Source organism: Homo sapiens, chromosome 16, assembly GCF_000001405.40.
Source record: "Homo sapiens chromosome 16, GRCh38.p14 Primary Assembly".
In the NCBI taxonomy this organism is placed as follows: domain Eukaryota; kingdom Metazoa; phylum Chordata; class Mammalia; order Primates; family Hominidae; genus Homo; species Homo sapiens.
In genome coordinates, this window is record NC_000016.10 from 67,275,320 (window position 1) to 67,296,070 (window position 20,751).

At 56.7% G+C, this 20,751-nt stretch overlaps 2 protein-coding genes and 1 long non-coding RNA gene across 18 annotated transcripts in view, besides 4 other annotated features; 1 reads left to right on the top strand and 2 right to left on the bottom strand.

Moving 5' to 3' along the window:
• The window catches only part of LOC124903701 (uncharacterized), a 17,017-nt gene extending 12,925 nt beyond the window's left edge, over positions 1-4,092 (bottom strand). Inside the window, exons 1-2 of one of the 2 annotated variants that reach the window (XR_007065092.1) lie at positions 3,830-4,092; positions 2,275-2,472 (exon numbers count right to left, since the gene is read on the bottom strand). This is a non-coding gene — a long non-coding RNA (uncharacterized LOC124903701). Of the gene's footprint in view, positions 1-422; positions 2,473-3,829 lie in introns of those variants that run through there. The other variant, XR_007065091.1, reaches the window with a different exon arrangement.
• Positions 2,261-14,161, top strand: PLEKHG4 (pleckstrin homology and RhoGEF domain containing G4). 15 transcript variants are annotated; one of them, XM_011522987.3, is made up of 23 exons: positions 2,261-2,626; positions 3,422-3,471; positions 4,557-5,224; positions 5,392-5,487; positions 5,563-5,686; positions 5,772-5,865; positions 6,248-6,325; positions 6,405-6,518; positions 6,690-6,788; positions 6,882-7,030; positions 7,184-7,322; positions 7,423-7,539; positions 8,956-9,138; positions 9,394-9,896; positions 9,971-10,217; positions 10,955-11,044; positions 11,126-11,347; positions 11,430-11,600; positions 11,681-11,858; positions 12,579-12,695; positions 12,848-13,081; positions 13,170-13,285; positions 13,484-14,161. In XM_011522987.3, exons 3-23 carry the CDS (start codon positions 4,726-4,728, stop codon positions 13,487-13,489), a joined length of 3,576 nt encoding a protein of 1,191 aa, XP_011521289.1. In that variant the 5' UTR covers positions 2,261-2,626; positions 3,422-3,471; positions 4,557-4,725; the 3' UTR covers positions 13,490-14,161. The 15 variants fall into 15 exon arrangements, with proteins under 15 accessions (XP_011521289.1, XP_011521290.1, NP_001123199.1 ...); XM_011522988.3 differs by lacking the exon at positions 2,261-2,626 and adding an exon at positions 2,843-2,957 and having other exon boundaries at positions 3,422-3,563; NM_001129727.3 differs by lacking the exon at positions 2,261-2,626 and adding an exon at positions 2,843-2,957.
• Positions 3,706-3,865: a silencer, noted in NCBI's record as "silent region_7600". NCBI's record gives its function as "represses an Ori minimal core promoter by ATAC-STARR-seq in GM12878 lymphoblastoid cells {active_cell/tissue: GM12878}" and the evidence as "EXISTENCE:reporter gene assay evidence [ECO:0000049][PMID:35858748]".
• Positions 3,916-4,345: a silencer, noted in NCBI's record as "silent region_7601". NCBI's record gives its function as "represses an Ori minimal core promoter by ATAC-STARR-seq in GM12878 lymphoblastoid cells {active_cell/tissue: GM12878}" and the evidence as "EXISTENCE:reporter gene assay evidence [ECO:0000049][PMID:35858748]".
• Positions 4,065-4,246: a silencer, noted in NCBI's record as "fragment chr16:67313287-67313468 (GRCh37/hg19 assembly coordinates)". NCBI's record gives its function as "represses an EF-1alpha promoter that drives an FKBP-Casp9 reporter gene in an ReSE screen in K562 erythroleukemia cells {active_cell/tissue: K562}" and the evidence as "EXISTENCE:reporter gene assay evidence [ECO:0000049][PMID:32094911]".
• Positions 9,060-9,800: an enhancer, noted in NCBI's record as "H3K4me1 hESC enhancer chr16:67318282-67319022 (GRCh37/hg19 assembly coordinates)". NCBI's record gives its function as "activates a minimal SCP1, AML or CMV promoter by ChIP-STARR-seq in naive and primed H9 embryonic stem cells {active_cell/tissue: H9 hESC(naive and primed)}" and the evidence as "EXISTENCE:reporter gene assay evidence [ECO:0000049][PMID:30033119]".
• Positions 14,113-20,751, bottom strand: part of KCTD19 (potassium channel tetramerization domain containing 19) — a 37,310-nt gene continuing 30,671 nt past the window's right edge. The window contains exons 9-16 of the mRNA NM_001100915.3: positions 19,944-20,086; positions 19,654-19,737; positions 19,261-19,375; positions 18,225-18,852; positions 16,327-16,518; positions 15,990-16,144; positions 15,566-15,667; positions 14,113-14,363 (exon numbers count right to left, since the gene is read on the bottom strand). Coding sequence (NP_001094385.1) covers positions 14,250-14,363; positions 15,566-15,667; positions 15,990-16,144; positions 16,327-16,518; positions 18,225-18,852; positions 19,261-19,375; positions 19,654-19,737; positions 19,944-20,086 — 1,533 coding nt within the window. The 3' untranslated portion in view covers positions 14,113-14,249. The remainder of the gene's footprint in view (positions 14,364-15,565; positions 15,668-15,989; positions 16,145-16,326; positions 16,519-18,224; positions 18,853-19,260; positions 19,376-19,653; positions 19,738-19,943; positions 20,087-20,751) is intronic.

The window sequence follows — 20,751 nt, forward strand, 5'->3', positions numbered from 1 at the left end:
CCACCTCAGCCTTCCTGAGTAGCTGAGATATATTTGAGATATAAGTCACATACCATAAAAATTCACCCATTTTAAGTGTACAGTTCAGTGTTTTGAATATACCCATAGGGTTGTGCAGCCCTTACCACAATCTAAGTTTAGAACATTTTCATCATCCCCCAAAAAACCCTGTACTCATTAGCAGTCAGTCCTCATCCCTGGCCCTCCTCAGCCCTAGGTAATAACTAACCTACTTTCTGGCTGTCTGGATCTGAAGGACTTTTGACACACTTGGAAGGTTATACTTTTAGCCAACTTACCTTTACTTTTTCTGCATTATGCGCAGGGAAGGTGTGATGAGAAGGAAGAGTGACTTGGGCTTTGCCCTTAGGTTGTTTACAGGCCACAGTGATAAGGCCTCGTAGTTAACTAGTCGTCAACAGTTTATTTTTTTAATTTTTATTTTTTACTCTTTTTGAGACAGTCTCAGTCAGGTCACTCAGGCTGGAGTGCAATGGTATGATCTTGGCTCATAACCTCTGCCTCCCAGGTTCAAGCAATTCTCCTGCTTCAGCCTCCCAAGTAGTTGGAATTACAGGTGCCCACCACCATGCCCGGCTAATTTTTTGTATTTTTAGTAGAGACAGGGTTTTGCTATGTTGGCCAGGCTGGTCTCGAACTTCTGACCTCAGGTGATCCACCCGCCTCGGCCTCCCAAAGTGCTGGGATTACAGGCATGAGCCACTGCGCCCGGCCGTAGTCAACAGTTTAGAGTCAACAGCCCCAGCTGTCACTCACAAGTGTCATTCTGGGTGTGTTACATGCTCTCTCTGAGCCTCAGTGTCCTCATCTCTCAAATGAGATAATCATACTCACTTCATAAGGCTGCTGTCAGGATTAAATGACAAAATTTAATGGGAAGAATCTACCCAGGGCCTGGCTCAAGGTAAGGGATCATAAATGTCATTATTTGTCGGGCCGGGTGCGGTGGCTCATGGTTGTAATCCCAGCACTTTGGTAGGCCAAGGCGGGTGGATCCCTTGAGGTCAGGAGTTTGAGATCAGCCTGGCCAACATGCTGAAACTCCATCTCTACTGAAAATACAAAAACTAGCTGGGCATGGTGGTGCATGCCTGTAATCCCAGCTACTCTGGAGGCTGAGGCAGGAGAATCACTTGAGCCCAGGAGATGGAGGTTGCAGTGGTGGGGGCAGATGAACATGGTGGGTTTGACAGGGAGGCAGGCAGGTGACTTGGATGCAGGAGAGCAAGTGCGTCAAGCGCTCATCCATGGGTCCTTGCCATGTGACTGGGCAGGGTGGCCTGAGCTGAGAGAACTTGGCTGGGGTAGTCTTCGTGAAGGAGATGCTGCACCCAGGCCTCAAATGAGGAAGGATTTTGATTAGGGGAGATGGGCATGGGCCTTCAGGAAGAGGAGCCAGTGTGAGACTAGACTAGTAATCAGATTTGTTTTCCAGGCCAGTCTGGGAGGTAGATGGGAAGGCTGTGATGCCTCTAAGTGGCCTTGACTGTCATACCAAGGAGTTTGGAGTTTATTTAGGCCAAAGGCAAGAGAGGTCTGGAAGTTCTGGGGTATTTGTTGCCCTCAGTATTTGGGGTAGTACTGAAGAGGGGTGTGCAAGGTGAATGACTGTGGGTCTGTTGTCACTAGACCCAGTGAGGCCCAGAGCCCTCCCCTCCTTTTTATTTATTTATTTATTTTTGAGACAGAGTCTCGCTTTGTCACCCAGGCTGGAGTGCAGTGGTGTGATCTTGCCTCACTGGAACCCCTGCTTTCCAGGTTCATGTGATTCTCTTGCCTCAGCCTCTCAAGTAGCTGGGATTACAGGCATGTGCCACCACATCTGGCTAGTTTTTGTATTTTTAGTAGAGATGGGGTTTTGCCATGTTGGCCAAGCTAGTCTGGAACTCCCGACCTCAGGTGATCTGCCTGACTTGGCCACCCAAAGTGCTGGGATTTTGTGGCATAAGCCACAGTGCCCGGCCCATTTTATTTTTGATTGAGTCATGTTGGCAAGAAATGGGAGGCTGAGGGAGAGTTGGGGAAGGGCCAGGGGAGGGAGGCCCATTCCCATTTTATGATCTCAGTGGAAAAGGCTGCTGTGAGTTGATTCTGCTGCCAGGAGAGCCACAGAGATGGGCCCCATGAGTCACTGCTCAGTCCTGCAAGCTCAGCCCACAAAGCCTGCTGTGGTCAGCCACCCCTGGCTGGCTCCAGGCCCAGCTCCCCAATATTCCCCACTAGGCCTCAGTGTGTCCTCATTTCTATCTGTACCTTTGCCATCCTGGGCCATGCAACCTGTAGCTCTCGGCCTCTTCTGTCTCCTTTCAGGCTGAGTCTCTGAATCTGTCTCCATTTGTGACTCTGGTTTCCATGGGATACATAGATGTGGAGCCTCAGGAGGGCAGGGGTAGTGTGATCAGTGTCAGGCGCCCCAAAGCATTTATTCTGTGCCAGGCCCTGTGCTGGATGCTGAAAGTACGGAAGTGGATAACATACAGTCTCTGTTTCCATGAAGCCTACAATGCACATTCTCTGTGGAGTGGAGAAACCAGGGCCCAGCCCTGCCTCTATCTCAGTATGGCTGTACCTCCCCTGAATCTGCCTGCTGTGCCCAGGGTGCCAGGTCAGCTATAGCCTGTGGCTTGAGGCTCTTCTTTGCCTCTGGCATTCACAGGGGTATGTGTGCCCGCCAGCAGGTCCCCCCCGGCTCTTAGGGCTCCTGGGGGACTTGGCTGGTGGGTGCTGGTGGGCAGCAGAAGGGGAGGGAGGGAGCAGAAGGCAGTGACTCAGTGGGGGTGGCCCTGGGACAGAACTGGGGAGGAAGCCAAGGTTGGATGATGCTTCCTGAAGCCAGGAGGGTGGGAAGAGAGGTCTGGCTGGGAGTTAGGGATGGAGCAGGACAACTCCAAGGCTCCCCTCTGGCAGCCAGACCTGCTCATGAAGAAGGCTCCTCGGTAGCTGCCTGAAAGTCTGGACTCTGGGGGCTGGGCTGGGCTGGGTGGGGAGATTGCTGTTGGTCCCACTGTGCCTGTTGTAATCCCCAGGTTCATGAAAGAGGTGCCTGCCTTAGAGCCAGGGAAGCCGTTGCACCCGGTGCCCCCTCTCCCCAGGGACCATGGGCCTGGGCACACTGTGGGGCTCAGGGTCTTCTCCTGGTCGCAGAGCTGACCTTCCCACAATCTTCCCACAAATTCTGGGGAGTGTCGGGCCAGGCCCACATGCCCTAAAGGGACCTCAAATCGCACAGCTACCCACTTGGGTAGCTTTCATCAGTTCAGGATTCCCTGACTGCGGGTGAAATGAGGGGGCAGGGCACCAACACAGCCCGAGTGCTGGCAGCGGGTGAACGTATAACACAGGGAGTCTTCCCCAGTCCTCACGGCAACCCCAGGAGAAAAATGACTTTCCATTTTTACAGGTGAGGAGGGTGAGGCTCAAAGAGCAGAGTTCCTGGAGCGCCCCCAGCAGGTAAGTGGAGAAGCCAGGCCTGGGCTGGGGGCTCTGGCTCCAGAACCCCACCTCAGCACCAGCCTCCTGCACCGGACTTTGTGGAGAAGGGGGTAAGGGGGTGCCAGGGATGGCAAAGGGGTAGAGGATCTGGTGGACTCTGGCAGGCCTGGGTCAGCTCCACCCATTGGTCTCACTCCCACCCGGATGGCAGCCCCATCCCACGTGGGATCATGCGACCTGTCTCTGGGTGCCCGCGGCGAGGCAGCACCCCGCTTCCCTACACAGAAGGCCTTCCCCTCCCGTCGGCTCATTCAGCCGCGGAAGCCCCTGGGAGACCCCGCCCCGCCCCGTCCCGCGGTGCCCCCCGCGCACTCACCCTCGCTCACCCACGCGGCCTTCCTGGCGGGAGAGCGCTTCCGGCGTCCTCGCCAGGCCCGGGGAGTGGGCACGGTGGAGCTGCCGACCGTTGGTCGCTGCCCCAACCCACGCACTGCGACGCCGCGGGTGAGGCGCGCGGTCTGCGGGGCCCGGGGGTGCGGCGGGGCGGGGCTGGCGGGCTGTCCGGGCCCACGGAGAGGACGGCGGCGGGCGGGGGTTGCTGCAGGGCCCGCACCTTGTCTTCCGCGCCGGCAGGGCTGTGCCCCGTCGAGACCTGCTCGGGCTGTGGCTCCGTCCTCCGGCCTCCAGGGGGCGGCGCGGCGCTGCGCGGCGCCCCGGCGGCACTGCCCTCCCTTCCCAGCGGCCAGGAGGCGGTGTCCCGTGACGCCGCGCGGCCGCGCTGTAGTGGCCGTCGAGGCCGCCGTCTGTTCGAAGGCTGTCCGACTTCACGGTTCCCCGCGGCTCGGCCCGGGGGCGTGAGTGTCGCCAGCGGGCGACGGGGGGGCGCGCGGTAGGCCCTGCAACAAGGCCAGGGCCTGGGGGGGCCGGCAGGAGAGCGAACCCGAGGCATCGTGGTGCCATGGCGGGGCCGCCCCCACGGGCATGGGCCTGCAGAGCGTGGCCGTGAGGACGCTGAGGGTGGGCGCGCACGGAGCAGAGGCCCACGGGCGTCCGACGGGGGACCTGGACAGAGGGACACCCTTAACGTTATTCCCTCTTCCCAGGCCTGAATTGCAGTTCCTGTGCCCTGGCACTAAGACTGGCACCTCCTGCGGCCCATGCCCTTCGCCTGCATTGCCCACTGAGTCCCACTCGACTGTCTTCAGCGCGGTTCACACTGAGACCCAGCCCTCTCCCGCTGGCCCCGAGCAGGCCCACCTTTAGGAGGGCGTGATGGAAAGGCCCCTGGAGAATGGGGATGAGTCCCCAGACTCTCAGGGCCATGCCACCGACTGGAGATTTGCTGTGTGCAGTTTCAGGGATGCCTGGGAAGAGGAGGAACCTGCTTCCCAGATGCACGTTAAGGACCCAGGTCCTCCAAGACCACCAGCCGGGGCCACCCAGGATGAGGAGCTACAGGGCAGCCCCTTGTCCAGGAAATTCCAGTTACCCCCAGCTGCAGATGAGTCGGGGGATGCCCAGAGGGGCACAGTAGAAAGCTCCTCAGTCCTGTCAGAAGGGCCAGGCCCCTCTGGAGTGGAGAGTCTCCTATGCCCCATGTCCTCCCACCTCAGCTTGGCACAGGGTGAGAGTGACACCCCAGGGGTAGGGTTGGTAGGGGACCCAGGTCCAAGCAGGGCGATGCCATCTGGCTTGAGCCCTGGGGCATTGGACAGCGACCCTGTGGGCCTTGGAGACCCTTTATCAGAAATATCAAAGCTGCTGGAGGCAGGTAAGGAAGGCTGGGCTAGGGAAGTCTGGGAAGGGAATGGGGATGCCTGGAGAGATGAGTGTCAAGACTTTGGAGGTCTCTGACCCTACTCAGGCTGAAGCCCGGGTCCAAGTAGGGGTCTCTGGATAGGTGGTCCAAGGCAGACCCAAGTCATTTCCCTTCCCAAGCCCCCAGTGGATCCGGCCTCCCTAAGCCTGCTGACTGCCTCCTGGCCCAAGACCTCTGTTGGGAGCTGCTGGCCAGTGGTATGGCCACCTTGCCAGGTAGCCAGGCGGGCCTAGAGGCGGTGGAGGTGGAGTGGCCCAATACGGCAGGAGTTCACTGCTTCCTCCCCACAGGGACTCGGGATGTCCAAGGCCGGGCAGTGCTGCTTCTGTGTGCCCACAGCCCAGCCTGGCTTCAGTCTGAGTGCAGCAGCCAGGAACTCATCCGCCTCCTGCTGTACCTGCGAAGCATCCCCAGGTTTGAGGGAGGGGGTTGGGAGACTGAGCCTGAGCCAGCTGTGAGGACTGGGAGTCAGGTACTGAACTGAAGCTCACCCCTTTAGGCCCGAAGTACAGGCACTGGGACTGACAGTGCTAGTTGATGCCCGAATTTGTGCTCCAAGTTCTTCCCTCTTCTCTGGGCTCAGCCAACTACAAGTGAGTACAGGATTGTAGCTCCCCTCATTCCTTTTCTTTTCTTTTTTTTTTTTTTTGAGACGGAGTCTTGCCTTTGTCGCCCAGGCTGGAGTGCAGTGGCGCAATCTTGGCTCACTGCAAACTCTATCTCCCCGATTCAAGTGATCCTCCTGCCTCAGCCTCCCAATTAGCTGAGATTACAGGCACCTGCCACCATGCCCAGCTGATTTTTGTATTTTTTAGTAGAGAGGGGGTTTCACCATGTGTTGCCCAGGCTGATCTCGAACTCCTGAACTCAGGTGATCCTCCCGCCTCGCCTCCCAGAGTGCCGCAATTACAGGCGTGAGCCACCATGCCCTTTTCTGTAGAGTTGGGGATAGTGCTGAGCTCAGGTTCCTTGCAGGAAGCAGCCCCAGGGGCCGTGTACCAGGTGCTGCTAGTGGGAAGCACGCTGCTGAAGGAAGTGCCTTCCGGGCTGCAGGTACTAAGCCCAGTTGGCTAGGGGTAGAGGTGGGGTGCCTCCCCCCAGGCCTGGGTCACAACACCTTCTTCTCCTGTAGCTGGAGCAGTTGCCTTCTCAGAGCCTGCTGACCCACATCCCAACGGCGGGGCTGCCCACTTCGCTAGGAGGAGGCCTGCCTTACTGCCACCAGGCCTGGCTGGATTTCCGAAGGGTCAGTACACTGGGTGGGGCATGGGGGCAGTCATATAGGCAACTTGGGATCATGGAGGAGCCTCTCTGGGGCTGGCTTGAACCAGACAAAGCTGGCTGCAGTGGCCTGGAACCCAGGAAGCCCAGGACCAACACTGCATGCTGCTCCGGTCATGCCTGCCCCTGCTTACAGCGGCTGGAAGCTCTACTACAGAACTGCCAGGCAGCTTGTGCCCTGCTCCAGGGGGCCATCGAAAGTGTGAAGGCTGTGCCCCAGCCCATGGAGCCTGGGGTGAGTGTCCCCTCCCAGTCCCTCCATGAATGCTCCCTGTCTCCCTCCTTCTCTCCCATGGCCACCTCCACAGCTTATTGCCCTCAATCACAGGAGGTCGGTCAGCTGCTACAGCAGACAGAGGTCCTGATGCAGCAGGTGCTAGACTCGCCATGGCTGGCATGGCTACAATGCCAGGGGGGCCGGGAGCTGACATGGCTGAAGCAAGAGGTCCCAGAGGTGACCCTGAGCCCAGACTACAGGTGAGTGCAAGCCCGGCCCCCAGATCTTGCCCCAGCCCACCATATTCTATGCCAGGACTCATCTGGCTAGCTCAGAACCTGGTAGGACTGTGGTGCCAGGACAGGGTGGAGTGGTGCAAGGCAGGGGGTCTAAGATGGTATACCCTACACCAGGACGGCAATGGACAAGGCTGACGAGCTATATGACCGGGTGGATGGATTGCTGCACCAACTGACCCTGCAGAGCAACCAGCGAATACAGGCCCTAGAGTTGGTCCAAACACTGGAGGCCCGGGAAAGCGGACTGCACCAGGTCGGAACTACTTGCCCAGAGTGGGCCCTGCCCCGATCTCAGACGTGAGCCCCCAGTCCATAGCAGCTCTCTTCACTTTTCCCTGCTTGTGCTCCTCCAGATTGAAGTGTGGCTGCAGCAGGTGGGCTGGCCAGCACTGGAGGAGGCTGGGGAGCCCTCGCTGGACATGCTGCTCCAGGCCCAAGGCTCTTTTCAGGAGCTGTACCAGGTTGCCCAGGTATATGTGGTCACTTGTTCATGCCACGGGTATTGGGATGCAATGCCAGGAACTAGGAATGCAGAACTGTGTGAAAGCAATTCAATCCTTTGCTTTCTTAGACCTTATAGTCCCATAGAAGATATCAGTTGTAATTAATCACAGTCATATATGTGCCTGTAAACCCAGGCAAGATCTCTGGAGAGAATCAGTGCAGGTGATTCTGCCTGAGGGTATAACCAAGACTTTACCCAGCAGGAGTGTCAGGCAAGCTTTTTTTGGGTGATTTTTGAGCTGAGAGTTGAAAGATAAGTTGAGGTCAACCAGGCAGAAGAGGGTTGAGGATGGGGGCACATTCCAGGCTTGGAAGATAGCATGTGCAAAGGTCCTGTGGCAGGATGGAGGACGGTGTGCCTGAGGAATCATAAGGCCAGTGAGGTTGAAATGCAGAGCAGAGAGGAAGAAAGAGTTGGGGGAGTTGCGGTGGGACAAGCCTGGTCAGTGGCCACATCACTGGGCCCTGTAGCAGTCAGTGTGGAGTTTAATCAGGAAGGCCATGTAATCAGATCCATATTCTAGGAAGATTGCCTTCGTTTCCGAGTAGACAGTGACTTGGAGGATGGGCATGGGGAGTGCAGTGAAGAGGCAATTGCAGTAGTCTAGGTGGGAAATAGTGCCTCCTCTGGCCAGGATAGTGGCAGGGGAGACGGGTTGGAGAAGTTGATGGGATTTGCTATGTACCCATGTGGGAGGGTAAGGGACAAGGATGTTGCAAGGATGAATGGGTGCTGTTCCCTGAGAGACTAGGAGATGAGGTCATCTTGGGGGAAGGGCATTCAAGAGTCCGGTCTTGGGCATGCTCGAGATGGCTGTGAGGGATGAGAGGAGGGCCCTTGGGTCTTGGGCCTGGAGCTCAGAGGAGAGGTCTAGCTGGAGAGGATCACTTGGTGGGTCCAGGTGTTTGGATGACATTTGAAGTTGGTCACACAAGAGTGCCTGGGAGAGCGAGTGCACTGTCCTCAGGATCCCCAGTGTTTAATGGCCTAGGTGAGGGAAGGGGAGCAGGACGAGCCACCAGAGAAGAGTGAGGAGAATCAGGAGCGTGGGGAGGAGCTGGGGGAGCCCAGTAGAGAGTGGGCTGAATGACGCTGAGAGTTGGAGTCAGTGAGGCCTGAGAAGCGCTGGGGACGGGGCAGAGTGGAGCTGGAGAGGGCTGGTGCGGAGGGCGAGACGAGACGGTGAGGACAGATGATTCCTCTAGGAACTTTGGCTGTGGAGAAGGGGAGTGGATGTGGGTGGGGAGTAGGAGATACGGGTAGATGTTCCACCACAGGACAGACTTGATGGGGACATGTCGATATGTCAGCAGGAAGTATCTGAGTCTGGGGGCTAGACCGCCAGGCCTGGGCTGGCTGAGCCTAGTCTCTGTCTCTGCAGGAGCAGGTCAGGCAAGGGGAGAAGTTTCTGCAGCCGCTGACTGGCTGGGAGGCGGCTGAACTGGACCCCCCTGGGGCACGCTTTCTGGCCCTGCGAGCCCAGCTGACTGAATTCTCTAGGGCTTTGGCCCAGCGGTGCCAGCGGCTGGCGGATGCTGAGAGGCTGTTTCAGCTCTTCAGGGAGGTGGGTGAGAGTCTCCCCAGCTCCAAGTGATCCATGAGGCCGGAGGGATGGCAGCCCCAGCTTCAGCAGAGCCTGAGCTTTTCTTGGTCATGCTGCCTGTTCTCTTCCCTGGTCTTCAGTTTGACCCTAAAACCCAGTCACTGGGGCTGTGTCCTGGACAGCATCCTGTGGGGATGGGGAGTGGGTAGAGGAGCAGAGTGCCCAGCAGGCTTGGCAGGATCTTCCTCTAATGCTTGTCCGGCCCTGGTGTTGCAGGCCTTGACGTGGGCTGAGGAGGGGCAGCGAGTGTTGGCAGAGCTGGAGCAGGAACGCCCGGGGGTTGTGTTGCAGCAGCTGCAGCTGCACTGGACCAGGCACCCTGACTTGCCTCCTGCCCACTTCCGAAAGATGTGGGCTCTGGCCACGGGGCTGGGCTCAGAGGCCATCCGCCAGGAGTGCCGCTGGGCCTGGGCGCGGTGCCAGGACACCTGGCTGGCCCTGGACCAAAAGCTTGAGGCTTCACTGAAGCTACCACCGGTGGGCAGCACAGCTAGCCTGTGTGTCAGCCAGGTCCCCGCTGCACCTGCCCACCCTCCCCTGAGGAAGGCCTACAGCTTCGATCGGAATCTGGGGCAGAGTCTCAGTGAACCTGCCTGCCACTGCCACCATGCGGCCACTATTGCTGCCTGCCGCAGACCAGAGGCTGGAGGAGGTGCCCTGCCCCAGGCATCCCCTACTGTGCCTCCACCAGGCAGCTCTGACCCCAGGAGCCTCAACAGGTATGGGCAGTAGGCAGGGCGGGGAGGGCAGTAAAGGAGAGATGTCTTGGGTCCTGACTCCCCATACCTGGTAGGCTACAGCTGGTGCTGGCAGAGATGGTGGCCACGGAGCGGGAGTATGTCCGGGCTCTAGAGTACACTATGGAGAACTATTTCCCCGAGCTGGATCGCCCCGATGTGCCCCAGGGCCTCCGCGGTCAGCGTGCCCACCTCTTTGGCAACCTGGAGAAGCTGCGGGACTTCCACTGCCACTTCTTCCTGCGTGAGCTGGAGGCTTGCACCCGGCACCCACCACGAGTGGCCTATGCCTTCCTGCGCCATGTAAGCCCGACAGGCCATGTGGTATCAGCTCGTTCTGCCACACTCCCGAAGTTGCTGCTGGGCACATGCTTGGTGCCAGTCCCTGTGCTATGAGTATAGCTATGAGCAAGACTGGCAGGCTCCTGCACCTGAGGGTGCTCTTAGTCCAGTAGAGGAGACATAGAAGCAAGAACGATACTTGTAGATTATAGTTGGGGCTAGGAGGAAAATAAGCAGGATAGATGCTTGTGAATTACTGGCGGGGCAGGGGCTCCACTTTAGAGGGCCTGAGTGCGGTGCCAGGACACCTGGTACAAGAGGAAGTCTTTGAGAGGCTGATGTTTAAGCTGAGGAATAGGGGAGGGGCTGGAGTGAGTGTCCCACCCAGAGGAAAGAGCAAGTACAAGGTCGTGTGGAGGAAAGGGGGCCTGCCAAGGAGGTGGCTGAGTGTAGTGAGCAGGACAGTCCCAGGTGAGGTGAGCTCTTAGAGCCGTGGGAGGAGCAGAGCTGAAGGCAGGAGCTCAGTCTGAGGGCAAGGGGCTTCTTCCTTGGGGGCCTGTGGGCACACCCCCTTTGCCCAGTACTGTTCTTGCCAAATCACCCCTTGTTCAAAGCAGGGAAGACTGGGTCTGTAGGGGAGGCCTCCCTAAGAGGCATCTACTGGCATTTTGGTCCTCTCAAGCTGAGGGTGGTCTAGCCTGTGCCAGCCTTAGGGAGCTGGCCCCTTTGCACTGGGGCTGAGCCACATGTCCTTGTAGAGGGTGCAGTTTGGGATGTACGCGCTCTACAGCAAGAATAAGCCTCGCTCCGATGCCCTGATGTCAAGCTATGGGCACACCTTCTTCAAGGTAAGTGAACCTGAGATTAGGAGGAGTAGGGGATGCGGGGAGTGCCCCCAAACCACTCAGTGGCCTCCCATCCGCCCACAGGACAAGCAGCAAGCACTGGGGGACCACCTGGACCTGGCCTCCTACCTGCTAAAGCCCATCCAGCGCATGGGCAAGTACGCACTGCTGCTGCAGGAGCTGGCACGGGCCTGCGGGGGCCCCACGCAGGAGCTCAGTGCGCTGCGGGAGGCCCAGAGCCTTGTGCACTTCCAGCTGCGGCACGGAAACGACCTGCTGGCCATGGACGCCATCCAGGGCTGTGATGTGAGTCATCCCAGGGCAAGGGCAGTGGGTGTGAAGAAGAAGGCAGAAGAGGCTGGCCACCCACCAGCCCCCAACTCTGCAGGTTAACCTCAAGGAACAGGGGCAGCTGGTGCGACAGGATGAGTTTGTGGTGCGCACTGGGCGCCACAAGTCCGTGCGCCGCATCTTCCTTTTTGAGGAGCTGCTGCTCTTCAGCAAGCCTCGCCATGGGCCCACAGGGGTTGACACATTTGCCTACAAGCGCTCCTTCAAGGTAGGCCTGCCCACCCCAGGCCCCACCACTTGTTTTCCCGCCCCATGCCTTACCAAGCCCCTCTCTCCCGCTGGCCACAGATGGCAGACCTTGGTCTCACTGAGTGCTGTGGGAACAGCAACCTGCGCTTCGAGATCTGGTTCCGCCGCCGCAAGGCCAGGGACACCTTTGTGCTGCAGGCCTCCAGCCTGGCTATCAAGCAGGCCTGGACAGCTGACATCTCCCACCTGCTTTGGAGGCAGGCCGTCCACAACAAGGGTGGGTCCATGCCCCTCCTTCACGCCACACTCCCCTCACTGGAGAGCTTACATTGACCCACAGGAGCCCAGAGACCTGGGAAAAGCTCGGGAAGTGGGGAGAAGGCCCAGCGACAGCCACCAGTGCAGGAGAAAGGATTTCAAAGCCAGGCAGCCTTGCTGTCACTGCCTCTGACTTTGGACACAACGTGAACTTCTCTGAATATAAGGGGCATCATGGCTCTCTCTCTCTTTATTTTTGGAGACAGGGTCTCGCTCTGTCGCCCAGGATGGCGTGCAGTGGCATGATCTTTGCTCATTGTAGCCTCTGCCTCCTGAGCTCAAGCATTCTTCCCACCTAAGCCTCCCAAGTAGCTGAGACTACAGGCATGTGCCACCATGCCTAATTTGTAAAATTTTTTCATAGAGGTCTCATTATATTGCCCAGACTGGTCTTGAACTCCTGGGCTCAAACAATCCTCCTACCTCGGCCTCCCAAAGTGTTGGGATTACAGGCGTGAGCCACTGCGCCCAGCCAGGGGCCTCATCTTTAAAAGGGGAATATGGCACCTGCCCCACAGGATTGTTGGGAGGAGAGCACCTGGCACTAGAAAGGCTCAGCTCACAGGACAGTTAATGTGCTGGATGGAGGTGTACAGGAAAGACTTATCTGGGGGGTGGTAGAGGCCCAAGGACAGGCTTATGTCCAGAAGCATCCCACTTATGTCCACTCTCCACCCAGAGGTGCGCATGGCTGAGATGGTGTCCATGGGTGTGGGGAACAAGGCCTTCCGAGACATTGCTCCCAGCGAGGAAGCCATCAACGACCGCACCGTCAACTATGTCCTGAAGTGCCGAGGTAGCAGGCAGGCTACAGGGTGTGGGGGTGGGAGTAGGAAAGCTGTGCGGGAAGCACTGTGGCCCTCCATTAGTGCTGGCCCGCACTTTCCTTGGGATCTGGGGCCAGGCTAGGCTCTGGCCTGTCCCAACCTGACCCTCTCTCTTATGCAGAAGTTCGCTCTCGGGCGTCCATTGCCGTAGCCCCGTTTGACCATGACAGCCTCTACCTGGGGGCCTCGAACTCCCTTCCTGGAGACCCTGCCTCTTGCTCTGTTCTGGGGTCCCTCAACCTGCACCTGTACAGAGACCCAGCTCTTCTGGGTCTCCGCTGTCCCCTGTATCCCAGCTTCCCAGAGGAAGCAGCACTGGAGGCTGAGGCAGAGCTGGGCGGCCAGCCCTCTTTGAGTATGTCTGGGCCTAGCCAGAGGCAGGAGGGCATGGCTTGGGGTCTGGGGCTTCCCGTGCTGACAGTTCACCCAGTCTCCCTCCCTAGCTGCTGAGGACTCAGAGATCTCGTCCCAATGCCCATCAGCCAGTGGCTCCAGTGGCTCTGACAGCAGCTGTGTGTCAGGGCAGGCCCTGGGTAGGGGCCTGGAGGACTTACCCTGTGTGAGTGCCATTTGCCCTATACCCACCAGCCCTTCCCCAGCCCAAGCTGAGCCTGTGACTGTGACCAGCCCCTCCCCAGCCCAGGCTAGGCCTTTACTTTGGGTAGAGCTTGGGGTGGGTGGGCCAGAGCCATTCCCCAGACACCTCCTGGGTCCAGAGTCAGGGAAGCAGGCATTCATGCCTGGCCTGGCCCTGCAGGTCTGAGCCCGGGACTGGACGAGCAGTAGATCCAGCAGCCTGCAGCTCCAAGGAACATTGCCTCTCTGGATCTGCTGTGACCAGGGTGTGGCTGACACCTGGGCTACCTCCAACCTACATGTGCAACGCTGTTGACTACCCTTTCTGATGTGTGTGGCCATTGGACTAACTGGCACGGGGCCTCTCTAGGGAAGTCTGGTTGTAGAGCCTGAATAGGCTCCTGGCCCCATGACCCCTTCTCCTGTCCCCAGCTCCCATCCCAGTTGTGGGTTAAGAATAGGCTAGAGCAGACATTGGGTGTTTCCATGCTGTAGGCTGGTGGGGGACCATGTGCCTCTAGGCAGTGACTAGGGTGCCCCCACCCCTCAGGAAGAACACAGGTGGGCTCCTAGCAGCTGATCCCCAATGCCTGGCCTTAAAGCCGAGCTCAGTTACCATAGGGACAGGTCCACCTCTACTGGGCCCTCATGCTTGCCTTTCCTGGCCCCCAGGCCCAGCCCCTTTTTACTGGGGCAGTTTCGTTATTTTGACTTGATGCCTTTTGAATAACTTTCAATAGAATTGTCTAAAATTATCTTACTGGTTGTTAGGCCTTTGGTGTCTCAGAGAAGGAGTCTAGGTCTTTGATGTGTGATTTAATCTTTTATTTGTTTATAATAAAAAATAGACTGATATGTACCCTCTGATGGGCACATGCATTCTGGGCTATCTCCAATTAAAATGAGACTTGGCGGGTGGGGCATGAGGGGCTGCATCTCTGGGCACCCTAGTCCTCTTGTAGGTACTTTCCCAGGATGGAGTAAGAGACAGACCTAGACAGGCCCCTCTGGATGAGCAGGTCCATGCATCGGCCATATTTCCTGGCGAAGGGCAGTGTAAGCTGGAAGGAAAGGCCAGTCTTATCCCTGATTTCCTGGCCAGTTGTCTACTCTAGCTCCATGTGGGTGGGGTTCTCCCATTGGGGCAGGGACAGGGCAAGCCCGGCTGTTGGGGACTTTTGATGCTCTAGGGCCCAGCTCTGCCCCAGGGCATCTCACAGGGTGGGGCTAGAAATGGCTATCAGGGAACAAAGCAGAAAGACCGGAGGTTCAAAAATCTGTTTCCTGCTACTGGTTTTCTGCTTTTTAGCCATACATGCTGACTTCACCTTTACAAACCACATATGAGCCAGATGCCTAATGGTAACTGGGTACTAGAGGGCTTGTGGTGAAAGGTGTTATAATAATGCTCTTGATTATAGAAGTGTCAGATCAATGAGAAACTGCCTAAATCGTTTCGGCCTCAATGTTAAAATTAGATTAAGGAATCAGAAAAGGAAAAAGAAAAAAACCCTTGATCATTCCTTTGCCCTTACTGAATATTTTCTTTTTTTTTTTTTTTTTTTTTTTTTTTTGAGACGGAGTCTCGCTCTGTCACCCAGGCTGGAGTGCAGTGGCACGATCTCGGCTCACTACAAGCTCCGCCTCCCGGGTTTACGCCATTCTCCTGCCTCAGCCTCCTGAGTAGCTGGGACTACAGGCGCCCACCACCACGCCTGGCTAATTTTTTTGTGTTTTCAGTAGAGACGGGGTTTCACTGTGTTAGCCAGGATGGTCTCGATCTCCTGACCTCATGATCCACCCGCCTCGGCCTCCCAAAGTGCTGGGATTACAGGCGTGAGCCACCGCGCCCGGCCTAAGAATGCTTAAAAGTAGTTTAGAAATGAAAGGAATGTACACAATTGGTGACATCGTGGCCAGATAGGTGAAGCTGGTATCACTGGTTGAAAAGGCCTCACTCCCATATGAGTCAAAGCTTGGGCTCATATGATATGTGTCCCTAAGTGTGGCCAGGGTTGTTAGTGATGAAGGCACAGCTGGTATCATTGGAGGAAAACTGTAAAAACCAGTGGCCTGAATACTGCTTTTGGACTACTCTGGATTGGTTAATTTCATGCAGTTTCTCCCTCCCTGGGAGCAGTGGCCTAAGCTGCCTGTCTAGCCTTCTGGGCAGTGCTGGCCCAGCCCTGGTGCAGCAAGACACACGTCCATCTGAGGCATCCACAGGGTCGGTGGATTCCCAGGGATTGCAAGTGGCCCTCACCTCCACCCAGCTGTACAGGCGCTCCTGGGTGTGCCGGTCATCCTTGAAGCCGGTGATGGCCAGCAAATCTACCACAAACTGCTTGGGGCTGATGTGCAGGGTCTGCCAGGAGAGCCCACAGTCAGGCAGTGCTAGGGCAGCTCCTAGCCCCTCAGAGTGAGATGCAGAGCGGGGACTTCTCTGGGCCCACAGAGCCACAGGGGTAGGGGGCGGGCACTGTCACTGCAAATCTGCCTCTTGGCCGAGGCTCAGTCCAGGTGCAACTGCTCTGCTTGCCTCCCTGTCCCACCACTCTTCTGGCCCTGGCCTTCTCCTTAACCCCATCTTGGCTTACTTCCTCTTGCCTTGCACCACTTATTGTGGGGCAGGGGAAGAGGTGGAGAAGGTACAGGGTGCCCCAGGGCCTGAGGCCTGTCACACATACCCACAGCCGATTGGCCAGGGAGACCACCTTGGCTGTGATGGCTTTGGGGTCCTTTTGCCTGATGGAATCCATGATGATGTCAGCCAGGAAGCAGTGACATTTCTGTGCATAAAACATCTCTTCCCAGGACAGAGAGAAACTCAGGAAAGTCACTTCTGTGGAGGAGGGAAAGTGGATGTGGCCACATCTGTCAATAGCTAGGGCCTTAGAGACAGTGTGAGGAGGGGGAGAGGGGTAGGGCCCCCAGGGGCCACTGTCTCTGCCTGAAGTACCCTGGGAGGGGGCTCAGGCATCCTCACGAGGAGGCGCAGGGCTCGGCCTGGCTCCAGAGCCTCACCTTGGGGCTGGGGACTGGCTGTGGGTGTTGTGTGCCTGAGGTTGTCCATCTCCGTGGTATAGATGATGCTGTCCTCAAAGAACATGCAGAAGCCATCGCTGCCCACCACGGGGGGGTGAGTCACTTTGAGGATAACCCCTAGGCTGTCCACCTCACTGGCCTCGGGCAGAGGCTGCTCAGGGGCAGGGCTTTCTGTGAAAACAACATAGGGAGGGGGCTCTCCTTTTAAAAAAAAATTTTTTTTCAAGATAGAGTTTTGCTTTTGTTGCCCAGGCTGGAGTGCAATGGCACAATCTTGGCTCACTGCAACCTCTGCCTCCCAGGTTCCAGCGATTCTCCTGCCTCAGCCTCCTGAGTAGCTGGGATTACAGGCACCTGCCACCACGCCCGGCTAATTTTTGTATTTTTGGTAGAGATGGGGTTTCACCAGGCTGGTCTCGAACTCCTGACCTTAGGTGATCCACCCGCCTCAGCCTCCCAAAGTGCTGGGATTACAGGCGTGAGCCACACGCACAGGCTTTTAAAATTCTTTTCTTCAATTACCATCAAATCTTCATAAGCAGGGACTCTCCTTAAGCCACCTCAGAGCCCAAGCAGGAAGGGGACCTCTGGTGACAGGCCAGTACAATCAAGTCACCCCAGCCTTGCAACAGCTGCCACCTCTAGTTTCTCAGAAGTGACACCCTGGGCTGGCAGGGGCCTGTCCTGGCCACTCCTCTCTTCATTGCCCTGGCATCACTGCAAGCCAAATCCTGAACATTTTGGAACTCGAAGAAACTCCAGATTCCTCTGTTGAACTAAGACGTATCAAATGGGGCTGAGGGCTGGAAATCTTTATAAAATTTTAAGTTGAGAACTTTTGGGGCCAGCCTTTGATGCATGTCCAAAGAGTGGACATTTGTCATCCCAACCTTGACAGACCAACTTAGGGCTCACAGGCAAGAGTCCAAGAAGGCCCCTCCAAGCAGGGCTGGAGCCACTAATAGGGAAGGTGACAATACTGCAGGCAGGGCTTTGAGGGAGCAGAGGCAGCATCCTGGCACAGCGATTTTCAGCACAGTTCCCTGGCCACCTTCCCTTAGCTGGCTACACAAGCTCTCTCTCCAGTTCAGTCCCTGTAGCCCCTGCTGTCTCCTGGGCTTCTCCACCTGGATGTCCCTCGGCATTTCACACTCAGTATGTGCCCTTCCCCAAGCTCTGCTCTTTCTCTTACCCACACCTCAGTAAGGGCCTATCCACCCCCTTGCAGTCCCACAGGCTAGAAACCTGGCTTCTCCTTGGCCCATCCCTCCTTCCCTCCACTACCTGCCTAGCCTGCTTCCCCTAGCCTAGAAAGAACTCCAAGTGGCTTCGAATACCTAGCTCCTGCTGCATTTCCTCTGCTCCTGGAGCAAACTTTCTGATGGGCACACCTGACCCCGTGCTCTTGTCTAAAATCCTTCAGACGCTGCTCACTCCCATCCTGGTCAGAATGGAGTACCACGTCCTGAAGCTGGCCCACGAGGCCTGTCCTTATGACTTCTGTCTTCAGCCTCATCTTTTATCACGTCTGCATGTGAAGCCTGGCCTCCAGCTAGACCCATGCCCTGCGCTTCCAAACATCCTGGACTTCTCCTTCCTTCCCCTGCTGACTCCCCAGCCCTCAGCCTCTTTTGTGCTCCTGCTTCATAGGCACCTCCTTCCCACAGCACTCATCCCTTCGCCGTGTGTGTTCTCCTGGCCCCTCCAGCCATGCCAATGTGCCAGTCATTTCTGTGTCTGCTGCCTGGCACAGAGATGGCATTGGTGAGCGGGGGGGTCTAGTCCTCCTTTGTCACTAACTTGCTCTGCCATCTTGGCCAAAGAGTTTGCCTTCTCTGTTGTGAATAAGACTTAGATCAAAGGGGGACAGGACTCACCTCTCTCCTTGGTCCTCTGCTTGCTCCAGTCCTTCAGGGTGCCAGCTCTTTTTGGGGGTAAGTATGGCTTGAAGGTTGGCTCTGGCCCCTTGTCTTTCGCTCCAGCTCCAGCCCCTGCCTGTGGTCCTGGATCCTTCTCTGAGGCTGTGGAATGGGCTTTCCAGGCAGCTGAGGTGCTGGGCTGGGAAGCAGCCTCGCTTCCCAAGGGGAGCTGCAGGGTGGCCTCCTCCAAGGGGCTGCTCCGTGTGGCTGTCAGTGGCTGGAATTCCCACTGTTTGCAATTGACCATGTCCCATTCTCTCACCAGGGAGATGAGTTTTTGCATGGGAGTGGCGGGAGGGTCTTTGGTTTCAGATTTCTGTGTGAGGTTGATTGTGGTGCATTTCTTCTTTGGGGGGCTCTCAGGGTGGCTCCCCCAGTGTCCAGGATTGGTACACAAGCCACGGCAGTGTGAGTATGTGCTAGGGTTGCCAGCCCTCTTGGCATTTCGGCATAGGGACACCTGGATGGGCCGAGTGTACTGCTCAGCCTCATCCATCTGGTTGGACCTGACCAGGTTTCCCTTAGCCTTGTTCCATGGAGTCCTGTCACTGCAGTCTTCGAAGTCCACAGGCATGTAGGCTGTGGTCTGGGGAGGGAAGGGCACAGTAACTCTGGATAGGTTGGGCATGGACATCAACGCCTTGCCCAAGATCTAATAAGCTGGGCCTCCAAGACTTCACTTGCTCTCCCTGAACAATCCCATCCCTGACAGGGGTCACCCATTTGAGCTTTGCTCAGGCTGAGTGGGGATGGTGCCAGCCCAGTGGCCTGTCATTCCAACAGGAGATACAATCAGCATCGCAGGCCACAAGTGGCCAGTAAGTTCCTGTGCCTCCTTCACGGTTCAGAAGCCAGGTCCTGTCCTAGGAACCCATGTAGGCTCTGCTCTTTCATTTTGCTGCACCCACCAGTAGCTGAACCTACCCCCATCCACCCTGAGCCCGGTGGTAGTGGTTTTTGAGGATAACACCAACCAGAGGAGGCTGGTGCTTACTTCTTTAGTGTCTCTACTGAACTCCACCAGTGACCCTGGCCCTTCTGTCACCACATGCAGCCTCCTGATGGAAAAAGCTTCTTCATTTTCAGATTCTTTCTCCTGAGTCCATGACCTGCAGAAACCAAGAGGGGTTGGTTAGTGAGTAGAGACTTCCATCAGGCCATTGGCCAGTTGGTCAGATCTGCTCTTTGGCTGGGAGTTAATGCTAGACAGCAGGGAAGAAGGGGCTCTTAAAGGGTTTTGCCTAGGTCACTGGCCAATCCTGGGCCTGCTTCACTCCCTCAACCCCAAGGAGATCAGGATCCTCTAGGAGTAGGACTTAGGACAGGATTTCAAGAGGAATTTAAAGGACCAAATTCTAAACATAGAGTCGTGATAAAGTTTTCTTACTTGTATGCTTCACATTGTGCAAGGGCTTCTGAGAGGGATGGAATGTGGTATTCCTCCACCTCCTGGCAGAAGAGGGGCCATTCCCTGCAAACAACAAGGAGATATCCAGCTGGGCAGCTAGGATGAGGGTGTGGGAGGGAGCATGAGCTCCTGGAACTGCCGCTGCCAACAGTTCCCACGATGGAAATAAAATAACCTCCTCCCTGAAGGCTGCAACTCAGGTCTCCTTTGTTGCTAAGGGAGGGGTCAGCCTTCGTGATTTCATCTTACTGCGTCCTTGCTTCACTTACTTAAATTCAGATGGTAAAAACAGTTTGCCAAGTCTCAGGAAGTTGAGAATGTGTCGGAACATCTGGCCATCCCCGTGGATGAGCAGGGTTTGTCCATATGTGATCCAGTACACTCTCTGAGGGTTGGACAGCAGTTCTGGATACTGGAGGGGGTTGGACACCGGACTCAGTCTCAGAGGCTAGGTCTTTGCGAAGGGGCAGGTCAATCTTCTCTCACTCCCCTTTTCCAACTACACTAGAGCAGAGGCTTTGAGATTCCATTTCCCTGTCTTGTCAGTCACAAGGAACCATGGTGGGGAGCAGAGCTTCCAGGGAGAAGCACATCATCCCTGCTTCAACTTTTGATGGCCCCTAGACCACCCTCTCAAGGCATTTGGAAGCCCACCGTACCTCCTTCTCAGTCCAGGTCCCTCAGAGCTGGCCCCCTCCCTATGCAAACTCTGGAGGGCCTTCCCAGCAGGCCACTCGGTCCACTTGTGCTCTGTTTTGTTTTGTTTTTTGAGGCAGAGTCACACTCCGTCACCCAGGTTGGAGTGCAGTGGCGCGATCTCAGCTCACTGCAACTTCTATCTCCTGGGTTCAAACAATTCTGGTGCTTCAGCCTCCCAAGTATCTGGGATTACAGGCACGTGCCATCACACCCAGCTAATTTTTGTATTTTTAGTACAGACGGGGTTTCACCATGTTGGTCAGGCTGGTCTTGAACTCCTGATCTCGTGATCTGCCCACCTCAGCCTCCCAAAGTGCTGGGATTACAGGCATGAGCCACCGTGCCTGGCGGGAAAGCCTTTGTTCTAAGCAAGTGCTG

Excerpts from the sequence above, each read along its gene's own strand:
- PLEKHG4 (XM_011522987.3), top strand. The coding sequence starts at position 4,726 with ATGGAAAGGCCCCTGGAGAATGGGGATGAGTCCCCAGACTCTCAGGGC. Across the intron at positions 5,687-5,771 it reads TACCTGCGAAGCATCCCCAG|GCCCGAAGTACAGGCACTGG; the intron begins GTTTGAGGGAGG and ends TCACCCCTTTAG. Across the intron at positions 11,348-11,429 it reads ACGCCATCCAGGGCTGTGAT|GTTAACCTCAAGGAACAGGG; the intron begins GTGAGTCATCCC and ends CCAACTCTGCAG.